General features: G+C 43.6%; 1 annotated feature.

Annotated features, from left to right (window-relative positions):
• Positions 23,134–23,634: an enhancer, noted in NCBI's record as "H3K4me1 hESC enhancer chr1:235067947-235068447 (GRCh37/hg19 assembly coordinates)". NCBI's record gives its function as "activates a minimal SCP1, AML or CMV promoter by ChIP-STARR-seq in naive H9 embryonic stem cells {active_cell/tissue: H9 hESC(naive)}" and the evidence as "EXISTENCE:reporter gene assay evidence [ECO:0000049][PMID:30033119]".

The following is a 26,158-nucleotide window of genomic DNA, read 5'->3' as shown; positions in this document are numbered from 1 at the left end:
CTTCAAAACGTAGATGCTGCCTGGGTTGAGCAGCTCTAAATGTTCAAGATGGAATCATTAATAGGAAACTAATTGAAAAGAATTTGCATAGCACGTCTCAAGGACAAAAATCCCTTCTGTTGTTTTTTCCTTTTGTCTTGGTCTGCATCTCTGTCATTTGGTGGTGTTTGGACTGCCTGTCTGTCTTCCCTTTTTACTCCGAGCGGCGGCCTGCCCTCTGCCCCCTGCCCCCAGGGGAACAACAATGGCCCTGATCACAATTGGGTGGCCAAGCATATCATGCCGTGGAAGTTTGGAGCCAACACTCAGTTCCAGTTGCTCCTCTCCTTATTCTCTAGGGTGGCTCCACTAGGTTCTGCTTTCTCAGAAAACAGCAGTGAACTTTGTTCAGCCGAAACCCTATTTCCCAAGCTGATACTTGCTCACTGGCCTCCCCTCCTCCAGCTGCTCCCAACTGCTGACCACTTCTTGAGCGCACTGCTAGCTGCTTCTGCTGTTCCAGCACTTCCTGGAAGGCAGCTGCAAGCAGCCGAGGCAGATGGAGCCCAAGCCCTGTTGCTTGTGGTCTTGGCTTACTGAGCCTGAATCCACGACCGGATCATTAGAAAAGGGACGGTGTGTGTGCCTACCTTTGAAGCCAGTAGGCCAAAAGAAGGGTGAGCAGGACAGCGCCATAACACCTAGAGTTACTGTGTTTGGTTCACACTTCTGGTTTCCTGCAGAATTGCTAGAATTTTTAAAAAAAGGAAGCAGCAAGTTGAGAGCAACTAAAGTAAAAAGAGAAAAGTGATACAAAGGGAAAGGTTTATTTTTGGAGCTCTTAGATTCTGAAACTCCTTCTGACTCTTTTATCCTTTTACCTCTCCCTTTCTCCTCACTGGGCTCTTTGTCCTCATGGGGACTGTGCATCTCTGGTCTCACTCTAGCTCTGGGTCCCTTAGGCTCTTCTGGTTTTCTGGCTCCTGGAGTGAGCCCTTTCAATGAGGCCCTCCCTCAATTTCCCATCCCTCTTGTTCTTCTGCCATCCAGACTCATCACAGCCCAAATCTGAGACCAGCTGGCTGCACCGCTGGCTACTCAGAGCGGCTGGAGACAGCCATGCCCTGGGGCGACTTGTTCCATGGTGATCTGACTGGTTCATGCAGGGGTCTCGGACCTCACGGACCTCATCAGGAGCATCAAATGGGGTTTTTTTTGGCCGGAATGATATTTAAAACAATTTGATTTAGTTATGAGCATTTAAGAAATAGGAGGTCACCAGAAAATCCAGAGTTTTAGCTCGGCAAGCAGAGATGGAGAGCTGGCGGTACCCGGTCTTTACCCATTCTGGAAGGACCACTGGCTGGAGCTGAGAGGCAGTGGCTTCTCTGACATGGGGCATACACTCCATTTTGCTACCTTCTCTGCAACAACAGAGAGTGTCTTCCTGGACCCCAAACTGAGAATCAGATGCCTTTAATCAACGGGCTTGCTTCCTCCCACTCCCCAGACAACCTGATTCATGAGATGCCTGCCTGTTCCCCGTGGGCATCTGAGTTTGCAGCCCATGCTCAGTAGAGTTTATTCGGCAATCCTTTTCCTGACCTATAGCAGACTCCTAGCCCACCACATTTCTAATGCAGCTGTTGCAAGTCTTGTCCAGACCTTTCAGACCCTTGATCTCTCCGGGAGATTGTGCCTCATACATTATTGAAAAGATTGAGGCCACACAACATGTGCTCTAATGCCTCAGCTTTCTGCCTTTCTGCTTCTAAGGTCTCTGTTCTCTCTCCATTCCGTCCTCCTTCCCTCCTTTCTGACTCTCTTTTTCTTTTTTTCATCACTTTTAAAAATTGTAAAATAGAATGTACGTACAGAAAAAGGAGGCCGAGGCAGGAGAATCACTTGAACCTGGGAGACAGAGGTTGCAGTGAGGCGAGATCACGCATTGCACTCCAGCCTGGGCAATAAGAGTGAAACTCTGTCTCAACAAAAAAGAAAAACAAAAAAGAACCAAAAAAAACCCCCCAAAACCAAAGATATACAGTTCAGTGATTTATCACAAAGTCAACACCAGTGTCATTATCAGCCTGATCGAGAACTAGAACTCTGCCCTCCCTCACCCTGGACGTACTCTTCATTCCCCCGTCCACCTCTACCCTCCCTCCCTATCAGAGGCGACCATTATCCTGACTTTTTATGTAAAGCATCTTTGTTTATCTTTACCACCTAAATATATATATAAACAGATGTTTATAGCAGTTTTATTCATAACTGTAAAAACTTGAAAGCAACCAAGATGTCCTTTAGTAGGTGAATAGATAATAAACTGGGATACATTCAGGCAATGCACCATTATTCAGTCCTCAAAAGAAATGAGCTATCAAGCCATGACATGATATGGAAGAACTTTAAATGCATATTACTAAGTGAAAGAAGACAGTCTGAAAAGACTATATGCTGTGTGATTCCAACTATATGTCATTGTGGAAAAGGCAAAACTGCAGAGGCAGTAAAAGGATCAGTAATTGGCCGGGCGCAGTGGCTTACATCTGTAATCCAAGCACTTGGGGAGGCTGAGGCGGGCGGACCATGAGGTCAGGAGATCCAGGCCATCCTGGCTAACACGGTGAAACTCCGTCTCTACTAAAAATTCAAAAAATTAGCTAGGCGTGGTGGCATGCGCCTGTAGTCCCAGTTACTCGGGAGGCTGAGGCAGGAGAATCGCTTGAACTCGAGAGGCGGAGGTTTCAGTGAGCCAAGATGGCGCCACTGCACTCCAGCCTGGGCAACAGAGCAAGACTCCGTCTCACACACACAAAAAAAGAATCAGTAATTGCCAGGGATTAGGGGGAGGGAGGGATCAAACAGTGCAGCACAGAGGGTTTTTAGCACAGTGAACTACTCTGTATGATACTATCATGATGGGCACCTGTCATTAAACATTTGTCAAAACTTGTAGAATGTACAAGACCAAGAGAGAACCCTAATGTGAACTATGGATCCTGGGCGATACCGATGTGCCAGTGTAGGCTCATGGATTGTAACAAACACACAGCCCAGGTGGGGGATGTTGACAGTGGGGAAGGCTGTGCTATGTGGGGGGCAGAGGGTATATGAGATATCTCTGTACCTTCTGTTCAATTTTGCTGTGAACCTAAAACTGCTCTAAAAAAATAAAATCTTAAAAAAAAGGAAAAAAGTCTCTTTAAATGCTAAGATTTAGTTTTTGGCTAAACTAAACTTTAGCATTTCAATGCTAAAGGCTGTTTTTTTTTTTTTAACTTTATATAAATGTAACTAAACAGTGTGTATTCTTTCATGCGCCGCACTTTTTACTCAACATTATACTTGTGAAAATCATCCAGGTTGTCATGTGTAGGTGTAGTTTGCAGTTTTTATCAGTGGATAGTATTACATTAAAGAAATGGCATAATTTGTCTGTCTATTCTACTCTTGACGGACATTTAGGTTGTTTCCAGTCTAGGGCTATTATAAATGACGCTTCTGTGATCATCCTTGCTCTTGTGTGCTGGTGGAGGCATATGTGTGTTTCTGAGGGTATTACTCTGAGCCTGGAGTCTTCTTTGTGGAAAGGTTTAAATTATCAATTCAGTTTATTGAATGGTTATTGGGTTAGTTAAGATTTACATACTTTCTTGTGTCCATTTTTGATAAATTTTCTTTTTAAGGGATTCACCAATTTATCTAAATTTGCAAAATGTTTTGGCATAAAACTATTCATAATACTTTCTTATGATCTTTAATAAAGATGGTTCTGTTGTGATGTCTCTTTATCATGCCTGACATTGATTATTTTAATCTTCTTTTTCTTTCTTTTGCCCCCTTGATAAATCTTGCTAGTTTTTGTTTGTTTTTTGTTTGTAGACACAGGGTCTCACTATGTTGCCTAGGCTGATCTTGAGCTCGTGGCCTCAAGCAGTCCTCCCGCCTTGGCCTCCCAAAGTGCTGGGATTACAGGCATGAGCCACCAAGCCATTTTGCTAGGGTTTTAAATCAATTTTATTACTCTTTCCAAAAAGTCCAGATTTTGGTTTTGTTGTTACAGATCCTCCTTCATTTACAATGAAATTGTGTCCCACTTAAAGTGTGTTTTTAACTTAAGATATTTTCAACTTAGAATGGGTTTATCTGGACATAATTCCAATGTAAGTTGAGGAGCATACTGCATGCATATTGCTTTCATATTATTGGAGTGATAAAATCGTAAGTTGAACCACTGTAAGTTGGGAACCATCTATATTTCATATTTTATATTTGTTTTTTAGTGCATTAAATTCTTCTTTTCTCTTTCTTTGGGTTTAATTTTCTGTACTTTTTCTAATTTCTTGAGATGACTGCTTAGTTCATTAATTTTAAACCTTTCCTATAATCAATATATGCAATTATAGTTATAAATATTCATCTAATCATAGCTTTAACCTTATCCCATGACTTTCAGCATTCAATATTTTTATTATCATTCTATTAAAATATGTTAAAATGTTATTTCAATTGTTTTCTTGGGTAATTTAGATGTACATCTGCATTTTCAAATATATGGGGCCGGGCGCAGTGGCTCACGCCTATAATCCCAGCACTTTGGGAGGCCAAGGCCGGTGGATCACCTGAGGTCAGGAGTTTAAGACTGGCCTGACCAACATGGTGAAACCGCATCTCTACTAAAAATACAAAAGTTAGCTGGGCGTGGTGGCACGTGTCTGTAATTCCAGCTACTTGGGAGGTTGAGGCAGGAGAATCGCTTGAACCAGGGAGACGGAGGTTGCAGTGAGCCGAGATTGCACCACTGCACTCCAGCCCGGGCAACAGAGTGAGACTCCATCTCAAAAAAAAAAAAAAAAAAAAAAGGGGAGTTTTCTAATCATCATTTTTGTTATTGGTTTTTTAGCTTACTTGCAATGTATTTAAAAAGTGTATTTTGTATAATTTCAGTCATTTGAGATTTGCCAAGACATGCTTTATGACTCAGCATATGGTTGATTTTTGAAATTGTTTCTTGTGTGTTTGAAAATAATGTACACTTGTAGTTGTGAGCTCAGTATTCTATATATGTCCATTAGGTTATAGTTGCTGACTGTGCTGTTTGAATCTTTTATATCCTTACTGACTTGTCTGCTTGTTCTGTTAAATATTGACAGAAGTGTGTTAAATTCTACCATAATGATTGTGGATTTGTCTAGATGTAGATATGTTGCTTTTTGCTTCATGTATTTTGAGGTATTAGGTGTATATAATTTTATAATATTGGCTGGGCATGGTGGCTCATGCCTGTAATCCCAGCACTTTGGGAGGCTGAGGCAGGTGGATCCTCTGAGGTCAGGAGTTCAAGACCAGCCTGGCCAACATGGTAAAACTCTTGTCTACCAAAAATACAAAAATTATCCAGGTTTGATGGTCCACGCCTGTAATCCCAGCTACTTGGGAGGCTGGGGCAGGAGAATCGCTTGAACCTGGGAGGTAGAGGAGCCGAGATCGTGCCACCGCACTCCAGCCTGGGCAACAGAGTGAGACTCCATCTCAAATAATAATAATAATAATAATAATAATAATAATAATAATAATAATTTCATAACATTATAACTTCCTGGGAAATTGAAAATCTTGTTATTAAGACAGCCCCTTCTTTATCTCTAGTAATGCTTTCTGCTTTAAATTCTATTTTGTTTGATAATTAATAATATAGATAGTCCAATCTTTTTTGGATTAGTATGGTATATATTTTCCATACCTTTACTTTTATCCATTTTGTATCCCCCCCAGCTTTTTTTTTTTGGTTCACCTCAATTTCAGCTCACTGCAACCTCCACCTCCAGGGTTCAAGCAATTCTCCTGCCTCAGCCTCCTGAGTAGCTGAGATTACAGGTGCCTGCCACCACGCCTGACTAATTTTTGTATTTTTGGTAGAGACGGGGTTTCACCATGTTGGCCAGGCTAGTCTTGAACTCCTGGCCTCAAGTGATCCACCCGCCTCAGCCTCACAAAGTGCTAGGATTACAGGCATGAGCCACCATGCCCAGCCCATTTTATATCCTTAATGTAATCTTCTGTAAACACTATACAATTGAAAACATTAATCATCTGGCAATCTTTGTCTTTTAATTGGACCATTTAGTCCATTTATATTTAATGTAATTCCCGATTTCCTTTTTTGGTGGGGAGACAGGATTTAGCTTTGTCATCCAGGCTCAAGTGTAGTGGTGTGAACATGGCTCACTATAGCCTCGACCTCCTAGGCCCAAGAGATCTTCCCGCTTCAGCCTCTCAAGCAGCTGGGACTACAGGCGTGTGCCACCATGCCTGGCTAATTTTGTATTTATTGTAGAGATGGGGTTTCACCCTCTTGCCCAGGCTGGTTTTGAATTCCTGAGCTCAGGCAGTCTGCTGGCCTTTGCCTTCCAAGTGCTGAGATTACAGGCGTGAGCCACTGTGCCTGGCCTAATCCCTAATATATTTGGATTTAGATCTCCCATGTTGTTGTGTGCTTTCTATTTGTCCTAGTTATACTCTATGTTCATCTTTCTCTCGTTTTATTGCTTATTTTGGATGACTATTTTTTTAATATTCCATTTCCTTCCTCTATTATCTTGGAAATTATATATCCTTTTTACTCTTCTTTTGGTGATAAGCCCCAAGATCACAGTATTCCTTCTTGTCTTATATTAATTGAAAAGAGCTTCATGCTCTTTTCAGGCATTTCAAGAACTCTGAAACACCCTAACTCTACTCCTGTCCCCAATTTTGTATTATTATTGTCATGTATTTTAAGCTATATATATATATATATATTTAATTAATTAATTTATTTATTTTTTGAGGCGGAGTCTCGCTCTGTCGCCCAGGCTGGAGTGCAGTGGCGTGATCTCGGCTCACTGCAAGCTCCGCCTCCTGGGTTCACACCATTCTCCTGCCTCAGCCTCCCGAGTAGCTGGGATGACAGGCGCCTGCCACCATGCCCTGCTAGTTTTTTTTTGTATTTTTAGTAGAGACAGGGTTTCACCATGTTAGCCAGGATGGTCTCGATCTCCTGACCTCGTTATCAGCCCGTCTCAGCCTCCAAAAGTGCTGGGATTACAGGTGTGAGCCACCGCGCCTGGCCAATTTTTTTTTTTTTTTTTTTTTTTTTTTTTTTTGAGATGGAGTTCGCTCTTGTTGCCCAGGCTGGAGTGCGATGGTGCAGTCTCGGCTCACTGCAACCTCTGACTCCTGGGTTCAAGCGATTCTCTTGCCTCAGCCTCCCGAGTAGCTGGAATTACAGGCATGTGCTACCATGCCTGGTTAATTTTGTATTTTTAGTAGAGACAGGGTTTCTCCATGTTGGTTAGGCTGGTCTCGAACTCCTGACCTCAGGTGATCTGCCTGCCTCGGCCTCCCAAAGTGCCGGGATTACAGGCATGAGCCACTGTGCCCGGCCGAGAAATACATATTTCAAATACAACAACATTTTAAATTTTTTGTATAGTCACTCTCAATTTATATTTACCTATATTTTAATACTTGCTGTTTTTAATGTAATACTTTCCTTCTTGCATCTCTGACTTTCCATCTGGGACTATTTTCCTTGGGCCTGAAGAATATTCTTTAATATTTCCTTTATTGTGAGTGACAAATAATTATGTTTTGGTTTGTTATCTTTAATTCATCTTTATACTTGAAGGATATTTTTGGAGGGCATAAAATTCTAGGTTGGCAGTTATTTACTTTTAGTATGTTAAGGGTATTCCATTATTTTTCTGGATTTCCTTGTTTCTCTTGAGAAATCAGCTGTCTGTCTAATTGTTGCTCCTTTGACAGTGATCTGTCTTTTATTTTATGGCTTCTTTTAAGATATTTCTTTTTCCTCTGGTTTTCAGCAATTTTACTATAATGTACCTAGGTGTATTTCCCTATAATTCTTGGAGATTTTATGGACTTCTTGAATCTGTAGCTTTATGTGTTTAATTTGCTTTGGAAAAAATCTCAGTTATTATCTTTTCAAATATTTCTTCTTTCCCATTTTCTCTTCTATCTTTCCAGAATTCCAATAACATGTGTACTAGGTATTCTTACTCTATTATTTATCACTCTTAACTTTTTTGTCTTTTTCATTCTTTTATTCCTTCATGCTTCATTCCAAATATTTTCTTCTGATCCAACATCCAATTTACTTCAGCTTTGTCTAATCTGTTATAAAACACACCTGTGACTTATTAAATTTAATATAATATAATAATGAATACAATGTATAATATATAATATAATATAACATATAATAATATAACATAATATAATATAATAAATATAATAATATTTTTTCCTTTCTAGAATTTCTGTTTCTAGAATATCTGGAGACTCTCTGAGTGTCCATTGTTCTATTTTCCATTGTTATGCTGGTTTTTATGTTTATTATCTTTTCCTCTTATTTAGTTATTTTTGCTGTTATAGTGAGCATAGCTATAAAATTAATTGTGGAAATTATTTGAGACCTAGGATGATCTTATCTTCCTCCAGAGAGGACTTACTTTGCTTTTGTCAGGAGTCTGGGGCCAAGAGTACCCTGAGATTAATTTAATCCAATTTCATGGATTGAAATGATTTGAAGGTGAGCTGCAATGTCTGCAAAGGCCGGGCTATTTCTGGATAATATTTACTCCTACAGTACAGTCCTTTAGGGTCACATCCCAAAGATAAGGATTTTCCTGGGACACTCACCTTGGTGGGCCCTGGACCCCAGTATCAGATCCTCTAACCATATGATGCTGTGTAAAGTGTTGCTCAGACTCTCGTCCTCTCTGCTGTGTGACCTGACCTTGGCTAACAATGAGGAGAAGAGTGGCTTCAGACTGTGGGTTTACCTCCTGGGCCTCCATTTTTCCTGGTCTCTGGCTTGCTAACTCTTCACTCTTGTGTTAGCTATCTGATGCTTCCAGAAAGATAATCCCTATATTTAATGCAGCTTGTATGTTTGTCCTTATTGGGAAGATTGGTATGAATTACCTAGCTGCTATGGTTGTCTGCCTCTAATTTCACATCATTGTCAGCCTTCTTTCTTTTGTATTTCATGGACATTTCAGGGAAAGAAATGCCCCTTCTTCTCTCTAAAGCCAGCCCTTATAGGTGTGGTTTGGTCTCCTTTCTCTCCATACTTGTCTAGAATCATAACGCATCTTCAATCTCTCGTTTAACACTAGAGCCTTCTACAAACACGTTCAACTACCCCCTATACAAACAAATACAACCAACAAACACGTTTTCCTAAACCTTGCTATTCTTTCCAATCACAAGCCTATGTAGTACTATTTTTGGTGACGACTCTTGCCAGAACAGTTTATCGACTCCTTTTTTTCCCAGAGTAATATTGACAAGTCTGCTCAAATCAGTGTTCCCAACTTGATTGATTCACTTGGCCAGAACGAGTTTACATAGAGAAGAGTGAAGGGGGAAGATAAAAAAAGAAGAGATGCAAGAGGAAATTTATAATGTTTTATTTTTCATTTTTGTGGCGGTGTCTTGCTCTGTCACCCATGCTGGAGTGCAGTGGCACGGTCTCGGCTCACTGCAACCTCCACCTCCCAGGTTCAAGCAATTCTCCTGCCTCAGCCTCCCCAAGCTGGGAATACAGGTGCCCCCCACTATACCCTGCTAATTTTTTGCATTTTTAGTAAAGACGGGGTTCCCCCATGTTGGCCAGGCTGATCTCGAACTCCTGCCCTCAAGTGATTCACCCACCTCAACTTCCCAAAGTGCAGGAATTACAGGCATGAGCCACCATGTCTGGCTATATATATATATATATATATATATATATATATATATATATTTTTTTTTTTTTTTTTTTTTTTTTTCGAGATGGAGTCTTGCTGTTTCACCCAGGCTGGGGTGCAGTGGCACCATCTCGGCCCACTGCAGCCTCTGCCTCCCGGGTTCAAGCAATTCTCCTGCCTCAGCCTCCTGAGTAGCTGGGACTACAGGCACACACTGCCATGCCCAGCTAATTTTTGTATTTTTTAGAAGAAATGGCCAACATTTCACCATGTTGGCCAGGATGATCTTGATCTTCTGACCTTGTGATCCACCTGCCTTGGCCTCCCCAAGTGTTGGGATTACAGGTGTGAGCCACCACGCCTAGCCCATAATGTTTTAAATTATGCAGACAAGCCTGGGATTATTCCATAAAAATTATCTGTCCCTTGTTCTTATTTCTTCTTTTTCCTCCCTTTTGTTATCAGAGTTTTTGAAGGGGCAATTTATCCTTGTTGTTTCCATTACTCAAACACATGCTCTTATTTAAACGTCACCAAAAGCCTCCTACTTGCCCATCCAGTGCCTTTTACCAATCAAAACTCATTCTCCTTGTTCTCCTTGTAGAATTCATCGGGCTTTCATCCCTCAAGTTTCTCCTCCCCTGTGTTCTGGAATGCTTGACTTTCTCAGCTCTCCTGCCTACTCATTCTTTTCCACCTTCCATTCCTTTCTTCTACTTCCTAACGGTAGAACTTCCAAAGGTTCTTGGCCCTTTCTCTTCTTTCGTCTTCTCATCATAGACTTTGTGCCTTAGTGGATTCATGGCTTCCACCATTCTTTTTTGGGTGAGGACACCCAGATCTAAATATCCGGTCTAGGCTTCTCTGTGGGGTTCCAGTTTTGCATTTCTGAATGACTGCTGTTTTTTCTAGCTGCGTGTCCTAGAAGTCCTTCAAAGATATTTTTAAAAGTTGAGCTCATAATTTCCATCCACAAACTTCCTATTTCTTATTTCCCATGTCGATTAATATCACAACGGCATCTCTGTACTTCTTCTTTTTTCTCTACATTAAGTGCCCTTTCTTTCATCTCCACTTGTTCAAATCCCATATAGCTTTGAAAATTCAAAGGTTTCTTCTTCAGAAAACCTTAGAGTCATGTGAAAAAAGTATGGGCTTTAGCAGTGAGACATGTGGCTCAAATCCAGGCTCTGCCACTAACTGTATGACTCTGTACAAGGTGTTTACTGCAAACTTGAGTTTTTCTCATCCATAAAGTGGGAGTCAGGGTGACTAGCTCACAGGTTTATTGATAAGATTAAATGCATTATTTATGAGCATGCTCTATGTCTTTTATTAGACTGTAAGCTGCTTGAGAGCAAGATTCATGTCTGATTAATCAATATATCCCCAGGTACTTATTAGTTATCAAATGAATGAATTAATATTGCACATTTTGCCAAACAACATGGTGCTGATGTCAGCATTTTATTCACCCATTAAAGAGATCAAACCTACTTTATTTTGGTCAGTATTGCCTAATTATATGCAGGCACTACTTTGATATTCTTATTTTATTTCTACTCAGGTTGAATGGCTTGACTTAATGTCAAAGGGGTGCTAAGATGGGAGAAGGAATCGGGGGCTTTTAGACCTACCCTGGGGTCAGTTTTTTGTTGCCCTCTCACGTGCAGAAAAGTCTGAACAATTGTCTAGTGAGCTTAACAGTGTAGACAACCGGCCCTGGCTGGAAAGGTCCCCAAGTCCCATTGCCTCTTTTTATTTTTGCTTAATTTATCCAGATAATTCCTTCATCTCTTCACTTCTTTTGATCTTTGGTGAATAGCCTCTCGGGTCCAGGAAGCCATCTGTTCCTACTTCCCTATTCTCATTCTCTCTCTTGCCTCCTTCCTCCTCCTTGTCCTTAAAAATGGGCGAGGCTGGCTGGAGTTTTCCTGGAAAGCCAGCCCTCACCTGGGAAGGGATCTTTTTCCAAGGGCATACCAGGCCCAATGCACCTGTCTGCTAAGGTGAACATGCCAAGCACTTGTCCCTCTCTTGGCCTATCAGATGCAGCTGAATACACTTGGCTGATGCTCCAGCAATTTGGTTATTCGTTTTCGTCTCTCGGCTGAGTGTCTACACCTGTTCAGAGCTTGGCTCACGCACTTCCTAGTTCCCTTGGCTGAGTGTCTGCAGCCATTGCATGTTTGCTCTTTCCCTTTCTCCTCACTTTCCCTCATTAGGTAAGTCCTTCAAGGGAGAAATAAATGGAGGTGGGGTAGGAGACGGGCACGCACGCCAGTGGCATTCCCTTTGAATAGCTGGAAAAGATCTTAGAACATAGTTTTCTGGTCAAGGCCAGTGTAGTAAGCTGAATTATTGCCTCCCCCAAAATATCAGGTCCTAATTCCTGGAACCTATAAATATTACAGCTGAATATTGGTGTCCTATCCCAAATTCATCTGCTGAAATCCTAATGCCCAAGGTGACGGTAATAGGAGGTGGGGCCTTTGGGAGGTGCCCTTGTAAAAGAGAGTGCAGAGCTAGTCCCTCCCACCATGTGAGGACACAGCAAGAAAGTCCATCACTATGTATGAACCAGGAAGCGAGCCCTCCCCATGTTAATGGATGGAAGGTCTTGACTGTGAGTTGTCTAGGTTCTTGGGGTGTTGAACAAAGAGTTGAACAAAATGCACAAACAAAGCAGCAAAAGAATGAAGCAATGAAAGACAAATGAAGCAACAAAAGAATGAAGTAACACAAGTACAGATTATTGAAGCGAAAGTACACTTCACAGAGTGGGAACAGGCTCGAGCCGGCAACTCAAGAACCTCCCAATTCGGGTTTTTATTAAGCTGAAATAATTTGGTAACACCCCTAGGTGCCCTTTAGAGGTCTCCAGTTGGTTCCATCTTATGAAGGATTGCCCTGTGACCAATCAGAGGCTGAAGTGGAAGCTTGGCCTGCTATCAATCAGAGGCTGAGATGGAAACTTCTGTCTTGTTATCACTGGAGTAAAAATGTGGCCTGTATGCTGCCTAATCTTGCCTAGAACTGGCTGCACCTGCTGTTCTTTTGCTTATGCCTTAACCCTTGGTTACCCTAATTCCCTATTCTCCTGTCTCACCCAGATATCACCTCTGCCAGTGTCCTGACCTTGGACTTCCCAGCCTCCAGAACTGTGATAAACAAATTTCTGTTGTTTGTAAGCCACTCAGTTTATAGTAGTTTGTTTCAGCAGCCTGGAAAAACTAAAACATTTACCTTATTTGGATAAAAGGAATTTTGCGGGGCTGGGTGAGGTGACTTATGCCTGTAATCCCAGCACTTTGGGAGGCTGAGGAGGGTGGATCACTTGAGGCCAGGAGTTCGAGACCCACCTGGCCAACATAGCAAAACCCCGTCTCTACTAAAAATGCAAAAAGTTAGGTGGGCATGGTGATGAATGCCTGTAATCCTAACTACTTGAGAGGCTGATGCAGGAGGATCACTTGAGCCCAGGAGGTAGAGATTGCAGTGAGCTGACATGGTGCCATTGCACTCCAGCAGCCTGGGCAACAGAGTGAGGCTCTGTCTCGAAAAAAAAAAAAAAAAAAGGATTTTGCAGATGTGATAAGAATTTTAAGATGGGGAGATTCTTCTGGATTATCTCGGTGGTCCCTAAATGACATCACAGGTATCTAGTTCTAGGCTGAATGTTCATGGGTGAGCCCACTAAGAGCTGCTGCTCCTGCTACCACCAGGAAGCTGGCCACCCACTGCAAAGCTGCCATACAGCTGCTACAATCTGTGCCCCCCAAACAGATGCCTCACATCCAAGGCTTCTGTCTCCTCTGAACCCAGTTCGAAATTCAAGTCTTGCATGACTACCTGTTATTTGAGGAATTTAAATTACAACTGGGACTTTGGTTGCAGGGGTGCCTGGGAAATGTGGTTTTTAGCATTCCAGCTTCTGCATTTCAGGAAGGCAACTTTCCGTTGTGACGGTAGTTGCACTCCAGATGCCATGGATTTTGAATGGGCCAGTCCAAAATTTCTTCCACAAGCACCTACTGTGTGAATAGTAGGGCTCTAAGCCAGTTAGAAAGCCCTGCACGCAAGGCACTTACTTTCTTATGGGTGTAGCTAGTAAGTTCATCAACAAATAAACCCAGTGATTTAAGATACTGTTATTTGCCACAAAGGAGATAAAGTAGTGTAATGAGGTAGTGACTAACAGTGGGGGTTGCTTTAGCTATGTAGATTTATATGTAGATTTAGCTAACAGAACAGTCAGAAAAATTCTCTTGACCTGGCATTTTTTGTTTTGATCTGAATGATGAAGAGGCAGCCATGTGCAAGTCTGGGGAAATGGTGTTCCAAGAGGAAGGAATAGCAAGTGCAAAGGGTTGGAGGTGGGAATACCTTGGCATGCTCAAGGGAGAGAAAGAAGCCAGTGTAGCTGGAGTGTGGTGAACGAAAGCAGGGTGGAAGGAAATGAGGTCGAAGGACTAGGCAGATGCTAGATCCCCAGGACCTGATGGGGATTTGGATTTTATTCTTGTGACAACAGGAAATCACTGGGAAGTTTTAAGTGGGGGAGTTAGAGTGGGTTGAATAGTGACCTCCAAAATTCACGCCCACTGGGAAACTCTGAATGTGACCTTATTTGCAAATAGGTTATTTGCAGAAGTAATGAAGGCAAGGATGAAGATCCATCCTGGATCAAGGTGGGCTCTGAATCCAATAAGAATGTCTTTGTAAGAAACAGAAAATGAGTCACACAGAGAAGAGGGTAATGTGGAGATGGAGGTAGGGGTTGGGGCGATACAAGCCAAAGAGTGGCAAAGATTCCCAGCAACCACCAAAAGCTAGGAGAGAGGCAGGAAATGGGTTCTCCCTTGGAGCCTCCAGAAGAAACGGATCCTGCTGCCATCTTGATCTTGAACTTCTGGCCTCCCGAATGCTGAGAATACATTTCTCTTGTTTCACCTCCCGGTTTGTGGTACTTTGTTATGACAGCCACAAGAAACAAATACAAGAGTGATGTGATCTAATCAGTGCTATAGAAAACTCACTCTGGCTGTGGTCTGGAGGTGAACCCTAGGAGCCAAGACCGATGGTGGCAGGGAGGCCTGTTAGGACTGGATGCGGCAGGGGTCCGAGTCGGAGATGCTGCTGCTCAGACTGGAGGAGTGTCTGGGGAGATGATGAAAAGCTTTCAGTTTCAGGATGTGCTAGGAAGGTAGACCCTGTGGATTTTACTCTTGGACTGGATGTTGGGGGATGACTGGGAGATGAGAAAGAGGAGTTAAATCTGACTCTTAGGTTTCTGGCCTATGCTGCTGGCATGATTTATTGAGATGAGGAGGCTTAGGGAGCTAAGTTGGGATTGAGACGCTTTTTGGTCATGCGAAGTTGGAGCTGCGTATTTGAAATCTAAATGGAGATGCTGAGCTGGGCAGTTGGGCTAGACCAGTCTAGGGCTTCAGGGATAAACAGACACAGGGATAACATTTGAAAGTCATCTACATATAGGTGACATTTAAAGTCTCGGGACTAGATGAGAGAGTAGATGTGGAAGAGAGAAGAGCTAATATCAGAGCTCTGGGGCATTTGAGTGATAGGTAGAGGTCCGGAAGAGACAAAGGATCCTGAGAAAGCATGGGGAGGAGGGAGGAGAAAAACCAGATAGAGGTGGGTGGCAAGTCACCCGAAGGAAGTATCTCTAAGACGAGATGATCAACTCTGATGCTGTTGAGGGCTCGAGCGAGACAAAGACAGTGGTGTGAGCATCAGCGTTGGCTCAACGTAGGTCTTTGGGAAACTATTTTAGGAAGAGGTGAAGGAAGAGCTAGACTGGGGCTATTGGAAGAGAGAATGGGTGGCAAGGAGGTTGTGATGGTGTCTGCACAACTCTTTGGAGAGTTTCCCTCTGGAAAGAAGCATGAAAATGGCCCGGGTGCTGGAGAGGGATGTGGGAGAGAGGACAGCGGCAGGAGAGGTGTCCATGAGGAGCGTGGTGATGTGATTCTGGGAACGAGTGGAGTTGTCAGCCCTCGACAGGCCAGGGGCAGTTCTTCTCTTGTGACCTAGGAGGAGGCAGAGCAGGAGCACCGGCTGCCGCCAGGGCTGGTGGATGGAGCTGGTGGCTGGAAGAGGTGAGGGAGGTCAAGCCCAGGGCTGGATCCCTGTTTCAGAACCTTGTGGGAAGGCATTCTTAGTCTCATATGTGGTCTGTTCATTCATCTCAGCAACATCCAGGTGGCAGGAGCCCAGGACTAAGCTCTAGCACTCTAGATCAGTGTAGAATGACTATAGTTAACAATAAAATACTACCTGCTTTCCGGCAGCTAGAAGGAGGATATTGAATGTTCCCAACACAAGGAAATGATGAATGTTTGAGATGATGGATATGCTAATTACACTGACTTGATCACTATACGTTGTATGTATGGAAACATCACTATGTACCCCATCGCTACAAATATGTGCAGTTATTATTTGTCAATTAAAAAAATTAAAAAATAATTTTTAAAATCATTTCTGTGTCCAGGATCTAGAACCACTGCTTTCCTTTCTTCCCACCACCCACTGTCCCCCACCTTTCACCCTTGGGGATTTGGTAGGGCTCAGCGAGTTTTTCTATTAAACCCTATTTATTTATTTAGAGACAGGATACTGCTCTGTCATGCAGGCTTGAGTGCAGTGGCACGATCTGGGCTCACTGCAACCTCTGACCCCTAGGGTCCAGCGATCCTCTCACCTCGGCCTCTGGGGTAGCTGGGACTGTAGGCGTGTGTGCCACCATGCCTGGTTAATTTTTATATTTTTTTGTAGAGACAGGATTTCAGCATGTTGCCCAGGCTGGTTTCAAACTCCTTGACTCAAGTGATCTGCCCACTGCGGCGTCCCAAAGTGTTGGGATTATAGGCGTGAGTAGCAACCTGCCCTACTAAACCCTTTACATGCTGAGGGTCTGATTACATCCCCTGTCCCTAGGAGAATGGGCTACTTCTTGTTCCTTCTCTTAGAAAGAAAGCGGCTGGGCGTGGTGGCTCACAGCTATAATCCCCAAAAGGGAGGCCAAGGCGGGTGGATCACAGGGTCAGGAGTTCAAGACCAGATTGGCCAACATAGTGAAACCCTGTCTTTACTAAAAATACGACAATTAGCAGGGCATGGTGGCATGCATCTGTAGTCCCAGCTACTCGGGAGGCTGAGGCAGGATAATCACTTGAACCTGGGAGGCAGAGGTTGCGGTGAGCTGAGATCGCGCCATTATACTCCAGCCTGGACGATAGAGCAAGACTGTGTCTCAAAAAAAAAAAAAAAAGAAAAAAGAAAAAAAAAAAAAGAAAGAAAGCTAATAAAGTAATTCCTCTTTGAGTCCTCTTGGAGAATAAAGGACTCACTCTGCAACTATCTTTTAAAGTAGAGCCGCCTCAGACACCCTTAGGGATCATAGCCCGTTCTCTTCCCTCTCACCCTGGTCCTCTGGTAGGGCTTCTCTCAGGGAGCAGGTTTTCTAATGCTTTAATTTTTTCCCAAAAAAGGGGAAAAGCCTCCATAAATTTAATCTTAGCTAACTAGTAATATGGTTTGGCTTTCTGTCTCTTTACCTTCCAGACGTGTTTAAAGTGTTCTATAGGAGTCTCCAGTCCTGTGTAATATCCTGCCCCCAAAGATTCCATGTTCAAACCAATTTTGGACATCTTGTATGTTAAAGGTTTAGAGAAGTCCTGCAGTTAAAAAAAATTTTGTTCTGTTTTAGTCAACATTGCTCAAACATATTTGACCACAATATTCTGCAGAATACATTTTGGGAAATTTCTGCTTATATAACCCTCAGTTTATCAGAAAGAAAACAGTCATTTCCCTTTACCATCTAGATGCAATGGACCCTATAAAATATTTTTCAGTCATTTTACATATAGTTTGTAGAAATAAAAATGAAAGGAGAGTGAAAAAAAAAAAACTCTGCTAGAAATTCAGACACCAGAATTTAAACACACCAAGTCCAGTTTTTAAAATTCTATGTTTTCTTGATTTTGAAGGTGTATATAACTCAAAGTGAACAATACTCTCCAAAGGCAACTAACTTCTCATCAGCTGTCATGCATGAATCTGGAACATCCATCTTAGATATACTGATTCAGATTTCAAACACATCTCTAATTAAATTTCACACTTACCATTGCTTCTGCCTCTTCTTGCACTTGCATTGTCAAAATACATAAAACAAATTTGAAGCCTTCAAAAACAGTTTTGTTAAAGAGAGGATGACCATCTTCTTTGCTTCATAATTGCAGAGCATTTTCGTTTTTAGATTTGTAAACACCGTTTAAGACGATCAAGCCACTAAGTTTTTTATTTCCTTCCAGTGACCTTTGTATACACACTTGCCTTCAACATCTGTTCATTTAACAAAACATATCAAGGAAATTTCAGGCTGGGTGCACTGGCTCATGCCTGTAGTCATAGCACATTGGGAGGCTGAGGTGGGAGGATCACTTGAGGCCAGGAGTTCGAGACCAGCCCAGGCACTATAGAGAGACCCTGTCTCTACCCAAAAAAAAAAGAAAGAAATTAGCTGAGTGTGATGGCTCATGCCTGTAAGTTCCAGCTACAAAGGAGGATGAGGCAGGAAGATCTCTTGGGCCCAGGAGTTTGAGGTCTCAGTGAGCCATGATTGCACCACTGTACTCCAGCCTGGGTGACAGAGTGAGACTCTGTCTCTAACACAAAAGCATACAAGCAAGCAAGCAAGCAAACAAACAAACAAACAAACAAACACAAAACCCAAGTAAATCTCAGTGTACAAACATCATAAAAGTTGAAAAAACACTGCCAGGCATCTTTTTAGCAAATGACATAGTCCAGGTCCTGTTGACAGAATATTGCATAATAAAGTCCTTCTGGTGGAATGGCTAACTGGATGAGAACACCATATTCCCTTTAGGTCTATGGAAATATATCATTTATCCATCAAATTTTGAGTCTCAGAAATGTGTCGAGGATATTGCCATCTGTAGATGTACAGTCTGAGATTTCACTTACACGGTCAATTTCATCATCGTCATTGGTATCTAGAGACCGGCTATCTTTTGGCTTTCTCCTTCGAATTCATCTAACAGTTGTGAAACATCTTCCTATACTTTTTTTCCTCTTTGCCATTATAGGCTGAAAGTAAAAAATTCTGAATTTTCAACTGCATTCAGTGCAAGCAAAAAGCAGGCTACAGAGAAGGTGTCTCTAGTCCTCTTCATACCTTCTCAAAGATGATGCCATACTTCTGCCAAGGCAATAGGAAAACTGAGAATGATGAAAGTGTAATGATTAATCTCACGATCGCATCATTCTTCTAATCTAGGTCATTCTGCCATTTCTTTTTCTAAAAGTGTAGTTTGGAATAATTCATGAGTAATGATGAAATAGCAAAACTGTTTCAAGATATGGAAAAAATAAGAACCCTAAGCTCCTCAGATGTAACTTAGATGTATAAAAGGGTCCAGTGGGTGCATATGGTAATTGCAATATAGAGTGAGTCTTATTTTTTTAGGAAAAATAAGTAATTACTTTTTTCCTTTGGAAACCCTTTAAGAAATAAAAAAATCAAGTAATACGAATCCTTACCAATAGAACTTCTCAAAAAAAAACCCTCAAAAATTGAAATTAGATCCAACAGATCCCGATGGAGTTCGTTTTCTCCATATTTTGACTTGTATAACTTTTTAAACCTTTCTGTAAATAGAAACATGCTTTTCCCTTTTGAGTGATATATGATAAATAAGTGATTTTAAGTAGAACATTTTATAGAGTTTTTTTTTTTTTTTTTTTTTTTGAGGCAGCCTGAGCAATATAGCAAGACCCCGTCTGATCTACCAAAAAAAAAAAAAAATGTTTCTTTTGAGACACGGCCTTACTCTGTTGCCCAGGCTGGAGTGCAGTGGTGCAATCACAGCTTACTGCAGCCTCAAACTCCTAGGCTCAGGCGATCCTCCCACTTCAGCCTCCTGAGTAGCTGGGACTGTACACATGTGCCACCATGTCCGGCTAATTTTTAAAATTTTTTGTAGAGACAGGGTCTCACTACGTTGTTCAGACTGGTCTTGAATTCCTGGGCTCAAGCAATTCTCCCACCTCGGCATCTCAAAGTGTTGGGATTACAGGCATGAGCCACCATGCCTGGCCAAGAATAGTGTATTCTTAATTCATGTATTGAAAGTGTATTTTTGGACAGTCTTTAAAATATTCACGATATTTGTCTTTTTTCCCTCTAAAGTGACACATATCACTAAGTGGATTTGAGATATGTAAGAAAAATGTGATTTATAAAGTAAAAAAGGCAAAAAGTAAAAATAAAGTAAAAAAAGCAAAAAAGTTTGATTTTTTTACTAAATGTATATATTTTATAATGTTATAGCATATAAAAACATGTAACATATATATGTTATAACACATGAAAATCCGCAACTGTTTTAATTTTCCTGACATTTGGAATGCTTATATTTGAGACTTAAATATGTCTATTTTTATAATTTCTGACATTTTATTTTTCTTGAGACCAAGTCTCACTCTGTCACCCAGGCTGGAGTGCAGTGGTGCGAGCTTGGCTCACTGTAAGAAATCACTTGAACTCCCCCTCCTGGGTTCAAGCGATTCTCCTGCCTCAGCCTCCCGAGTAGCTGGGATTACAGGCATGATCCACCACGCCAGGCTAATTTTTGTAATTTTGGTTGAGATGGGGTTTCAACCAACTCCTGACCTCGTGATCCGCCCACCTTGGCCTCCCAAAGTGTTGGGATTACAGGCGTGAACCACCTGACATTTTATTTCTAACGGACATAATCAGACAGGAGATTTCAGCTGTTCTTTTCAAATAATACATTATAGTATATGGATTTTTTTTGTCACCAATAAATAAAAAGCCAAATTAGATAGAATCACCAATATATACATTTTTTTCTTTCAACTTACATTTTTGAAGTACAAAAACTCTGGGTCTGGTGAAAATAATCTTCAGATAAATTTGCTGAATTATTACCATTTTATTTATTTATTTATTTTTATTTTTTTAGAAACAGGATCTCACTCTGCTGCCCAGTCTGGCTAGTTTATTTTTAATTTTTTTGTAGAGATGGGGTCTCAGTATGTTGCCCAGGCTGGTCTCAAACTTCTGGCCTCAAGCAATCCCCCAACTTCAGCCTTTCAAAGTGCTGAGATTACAGGCATAAGGCATGGTGCGCGGCTCATTTTATGCTTGTTGTGAAGTTCCTGTATTTCATCATCAGGGTTCTTATGCTTCTTGTCTTCAGCCAGTGCTCCACCGTGGAAGTAAAATAAGCAATATATGACAAAGACTAACTTAATGAAAGACTGTATATGGTCAAATCCACTGACGGTCACAGGGAGTGAGTGGTTGAGTCACAAGTACGCTCACTCGTTTCTGCAAACAGTCACACAACCAGGACATTCTTAAACAGTTCTGTTTCAGAGGCGGATGATTTAAATAATCAATTTATTTGAGTTAAAAAACAGAAATAGGGCTGGGCACGGCGGCTCATGCCTGAGATCCCAGCACTTTGGGAGACTGGGGTAGGAGGATTGCTTGAGCCCAGGAGTTCAAGACCAGCCTGGACAACATAGTGAGAGTCCAGCTTTACAAAAAATAAAAATAAAAAAATTGGCCAGGTGAGGTGGCTCATGCCTGTAATCTCAGCACTTTGGGAGGCCGAGGTGGGTGGATCACGAGGTCAGGAGATCGAGACCATCCTGGCTAACACGGTGAAACCCCATCTCTACTAAAAATACAAAAAATTAGCCAGGCGTGGTGGCAGGCACCTGTAGTCCCAGCTACTCAGGAGGCTGAGGCAGGAGAATCGCTTGAACCCGGGAGGCTGAGGTCGCAGTGAGCCGAGATCATGCCACTGCACTCCAGCCTGGGCAACAGAGAGAGATTCCATCTCAAAAATAAAAATAAAAAAATAAAAAAAATTAACTAGGTGTGCTGGCCCATGCCTGTAGTCCTAGCTACTAAGGAAACTGAGGTAGAAGGATTGCTTGAGAGCCTGGGAGGTTGAGACTGCAGTGAGCTGTGATCACATCACTGCACTCCAGCCTTCTTTAAAAAAAAAAAAGAAAAAAGAAAAGGAAATGGACACAAAATACCCTTAGTTTTTTTTAGTGATTCAAACCCCTGGGTCACTTTGTTGTTGTTGTTGTTGTTAGAGATGGGGTCTCAGTATGTTGCTCAGGCTGGAGTGAAGTGGTCATTCACAGGTGTGATCATGGTACACTGTGGCCTCCAATTCCCATCCCAGCCTCCTGAGTAGCTGAGCCTACAGTGTGTACCACCACACTTGGTTTCTGGATCGCTTTTGAGAGATTTTGGAGTGTCACTGGCTGAAGGACCTTTGTCTGGCTTGGCAGAGCCTGGCCCTTGGGTGCTGGCCATGGTCTCTGGTTATGTGGGGCAAGCCTGACTCATTCTTCCTCTTTGAGGCTCCTTTGCATAGATTCCTTGCACACATCACTTTTTCATTTTCTATAGCTCAAAACAGATTTCAGTTTCCAAGACTGTAACTCAGCGTATGTGCATTTACATTTAGTTTGGGATATGCTAATGTGGTCAGCAGCACATTTCTAGAAAATTGCTCCCAGTGGCTGCTACTGCAAAGTTAAAGTTCTGATTTAATGTTGACCCTCATTGACCGTGGGCGGGGAGGCTGACATTTTCATCCTCATCCCCAGGATCTTGGAGGAGTGTCCCCTGTGGGTATGGTAGCCTCTGGGGCCCTGAGCTGTGGACAGCGGATGAGAGGTGGAGTGAGCCTGAAGGGCAGTTGTTGTCACACAGAGCCTGGAGAAAGCATTTGGGAGGAGCTTCAGCCCTGGCATCTCCTCTTATCAGAGTTCCTCTGGGCCAGTCAGTGCGCATGTCACTTTCTTGCCAGGTCAGTCAGGCCTGTGTAGACACATCCCCGGCCCCTTTCCTTTGGAGCTGTGGTGTAAGCCCAGAATCAGTTCCCATCCATGGCCAACAGGGTCTTCCTCAGGCACTGGCCCCAGCAGAAGGACATCCCTCTGATCCCCTGCTCTTGGAAAACATCGCAGAGGTGGATGTGCTTTGCCGGGTCAGCAGTGCCAATAATAGTGCTGAGCCATGAACCCAAGGGCGAGCAGGAAAGAAAAGAGGATGGAAGAAAGACAAAGAGGAAATAGTATGGAAAGAGAAAAGAAAACTGAGAGAGGGGAAATGTGTAGAAAGACGAAAGGAAAATCAACATGCCTCATGGGGATGAGTCCTGTGCTGGTGGCAGTGCCTCTCCCATTAGGCACTGTCACTCCCAGGCTGGACTCAATCTCTCTCTGTTTTGCACAATGAAGATTAGGCAGAATGTGAATGGCATAGCAAGTGAGAGCCTGCTGACGTGGCGTGCTCTGGGGGATCAATGCCCATGAAAGAGAAATGTGACTACATTAGAAGCTCTGCAGAGGCAGATATTCAGAGCTTGTTCATCCCCGTACCCCAATGCCCAGGAACAGTGCCTGACACGTCCTAAGCACATGATAAATATCTGTTGAATTAAATCGAATGTTAGGTGAATGCTGAAGAACGAAGTTGGATCTGCTATTGTCCTCGCATTCTCATGGATCTAAAGGTGAGTTCCTCTACTCCTCTAGGCTCCCATATTTAGAGACTACAGCTCCATGTCTACCCTTGACTTGGAGCGATTCTCCCCCAACGAGGAGGACACACCTGGGGCAGCACAGGAGGAGGTGGCTGCAGCCAGGTCGGTGGACTGGGCCCGACACAGGACAGACAGTTTCGTTCGTCTATGGTGCCGCTGGGGCTGTACCTTTTGGGTTGCTAGGAGTCAGGAATAGCATGCGAGCCCTGGAGGGAGGGGGATGGAGATCTAGAATAAAGGCCCTGTGCCTTGGACCCATGCAGCATTTAAATCGTCATTCTGTTGTAAAGTAGGTGGCGTTAATATTTCTCAGGCGAATTGTCTCCCCCATGGGGAAGCAGAGCTTGGGCATCAAGCTGTGCTGAGTTGGGTGCTGGCTCCTACGCTGGGAGCCCCGGTGTAGACTGGGGAGGGGGCGGGGCAGCTGGAGGGCTCCAGCCATGTTTCTGCTATTTTCCACCGTAACGCTGATGGGAGCAGGGCTGTTGTAGGAGTTCCTGGACAAAGCTAGGCAGGAGTCTCAGGATCTCTAGGATGCAGGACAGGTTTCTTCCCCTCGGGTTCTGTCCATGAGCAGACCAAGAACCTTTCAAATGACAGTGGTCACATTATTTAGTCTGAAACTGGGGTTTCCAAAAAGCCTGATTCCTTGTATAAAGTCAAATCAGCAAAAACCCACTTGGACTAGGCTGCATACTTGGCATTTGCAGCCTCTCCCTATTGATGAATTCAACCTAACTACATGTTTTAAACACATTCTACATTCAGGGATGCCATGAACAGATGTGCAGGTTGGGCACTGCACAAAGGTGCTTGGCTTAGCCAGGAGTGTGGAGTGTGTGGGGGGAGTGGAAGGTGCATGGGTGCTGAAATACAGATTGTGCTTCTCTGTTGGATGTGCTCTGAGGGTTGCCTCCACCAGGAAAGAGGTGACTTTTTCTTCACACAAGGGCATAGCTCCACAGAGCTGTCATGCCGGCTGGTAGGCACTATACATGTGAGGGGGCTCCAGCTCTTTTCCCCAGGCTGTGTGCGTGTTGGGGATATGAGAGTGAGGAAAACAGATCTCTTTCCCTCCAATTGCAAACAGACTCCTAGAAAGACAGGCACCTATACCAACAATTGCAATCACACCACTTCTCTTTTCCTTTCCTGTAATATTCCTTTCTGATTTGTTGGAATGGTAGCCAGCTGTTAGCAACCTTGAAAAGGGGGCTGGGCGCGGTGGCTCACACCTGTAATCCCAGCACTTTGGGAGGCTGAAGCGGGTGGATAACAAGGTCAGGAGATCGAGACCATCCAGGCTAACAGGGTGAAACCCCTTCTCTACTAAAAATACAAAAAAATTAGCCGGGCGTGGTGGCGGGCGCCTGCAGTCCCAGCTACTCAGGAGGCTGAGGCAGGAGAATGGCGTGAACCTGGGAGGCGGAGCTTGCAGTGAGCGGAGATCGCGCCACTGCACTCCAGCCTGGGCGACAGAGCGGGACTCCGTCTCAAAAAAAAAAAAGATAAGGCTACAGTGCTCTTAGGGAGGACCCACAATCTCTGCGAAGGAAGTTTCCCCTTGTTCCCCTTTGGCAGGAAGTAGAAGCCCAGCTGAGGGACTCAGCAAGGGGTCCTTTCATCCCATAGGCTTGTCCCCTAAGGATACATCCCATAGGCTTGTTCCCCTTTGGCAGGAAGTAGAAGCCCAGCTGAGGGACTCAGCAAGGGGTCCTTTCATCCCATAGGCTTGTCCCCTAATGATGTGAAGTCATCACAAACAGGCACAGGTGGGACAGGATGCTGAATCCCAGCTCCAACCATGGGAAACATTGTAACAGAGGACAGGTAACACGTGACAGCTCCCGGCCTGAAAGGAAACCCAGTCAGCAGAACTTTCGTTCATCAAACTAAGAGGGATGTTGTGGGTGTGTCTGTGAACATACTGCTTCGAGGCCAAGGCCGCTGCTCTGTTGGCCTCAACCCCATGGACAAGGAGGATGTGAGCTGGGAGGTTCCTGGGTTGGCATCCAGACTACTGGTCCTTGCTTCCACCTGGACCTGTGCATGGGGGAGCCAGGCACTGGCCCAGATACCAGCCTGGCCAGGACAGCCAGGAGAGGTGTGGCAGCCCCACCCCAAACCCATGGGGCCGAGTGGGTGGGTCAAGCTCTGTGGGCACATGAGACATTAGCCAGGCTGGCAAGACATTGGTCAGGAATCACCTACTGGGGACCTGAGGGGCTTCAGGGACCCCCCTGATCCAGCACCCTAGAATGCAAAGTCTGTCAAAGATTGAATTCCTCTAAGCTTTTTTTTTTTTTTTTTTTAAGACAGAGTCTTGCTCTGTCGCCAAGGCTGGAGTGCAGCGGCACCATCTCGGCTCACTGCAAGCCCCGCCTCCTGGGTTCACGCCATTCTCCTGCCTCAGCCTCCCGAGTAGCTGGAACTACAAGCGCCCGCCACCACACCCGGCTAATTTTTTTGTATTTTTAGTAGAGACAGGGTTTCACCGTGTTAGCCAGGATGGTCTCGATCTCCTGACCTCGTGATCCGCCTGCCTCGGCCTTCCAGAGTGCTGGGATTACAGGTGTGAGCCACCACGTCCAGCTGAATTCCTCTAAGCTTTTTACTGCCCATCATCCCTATTAAAGAAGGAGGGAAAATGTCTTAGCTTCAGCTGCTGTAACAAAGTACCAGAGCCCAGTGGCTTATAAACAACACGCAGTTCTTCCTCACAGTTCTGGAGACTGGGGGTCTGAAATCAGGGTGCCAGCATGG

Source organism: Homo sapiens, chromosome 1 (assembly GCF_000001405.40).
Source record: "Homo sapiens chromosome 1, GRCh38.p14 Primary Assembly".
Classification (NCBI taxonomy): domain Eukaryota; kingdom Metazoa; phylum Chordata; class Mammalia; order Primates; family Hominidae; genus Homo; species Homo sapiens.
This window is presented reverse-complemented; position numbering and strand designations above follow the sequence as displayed.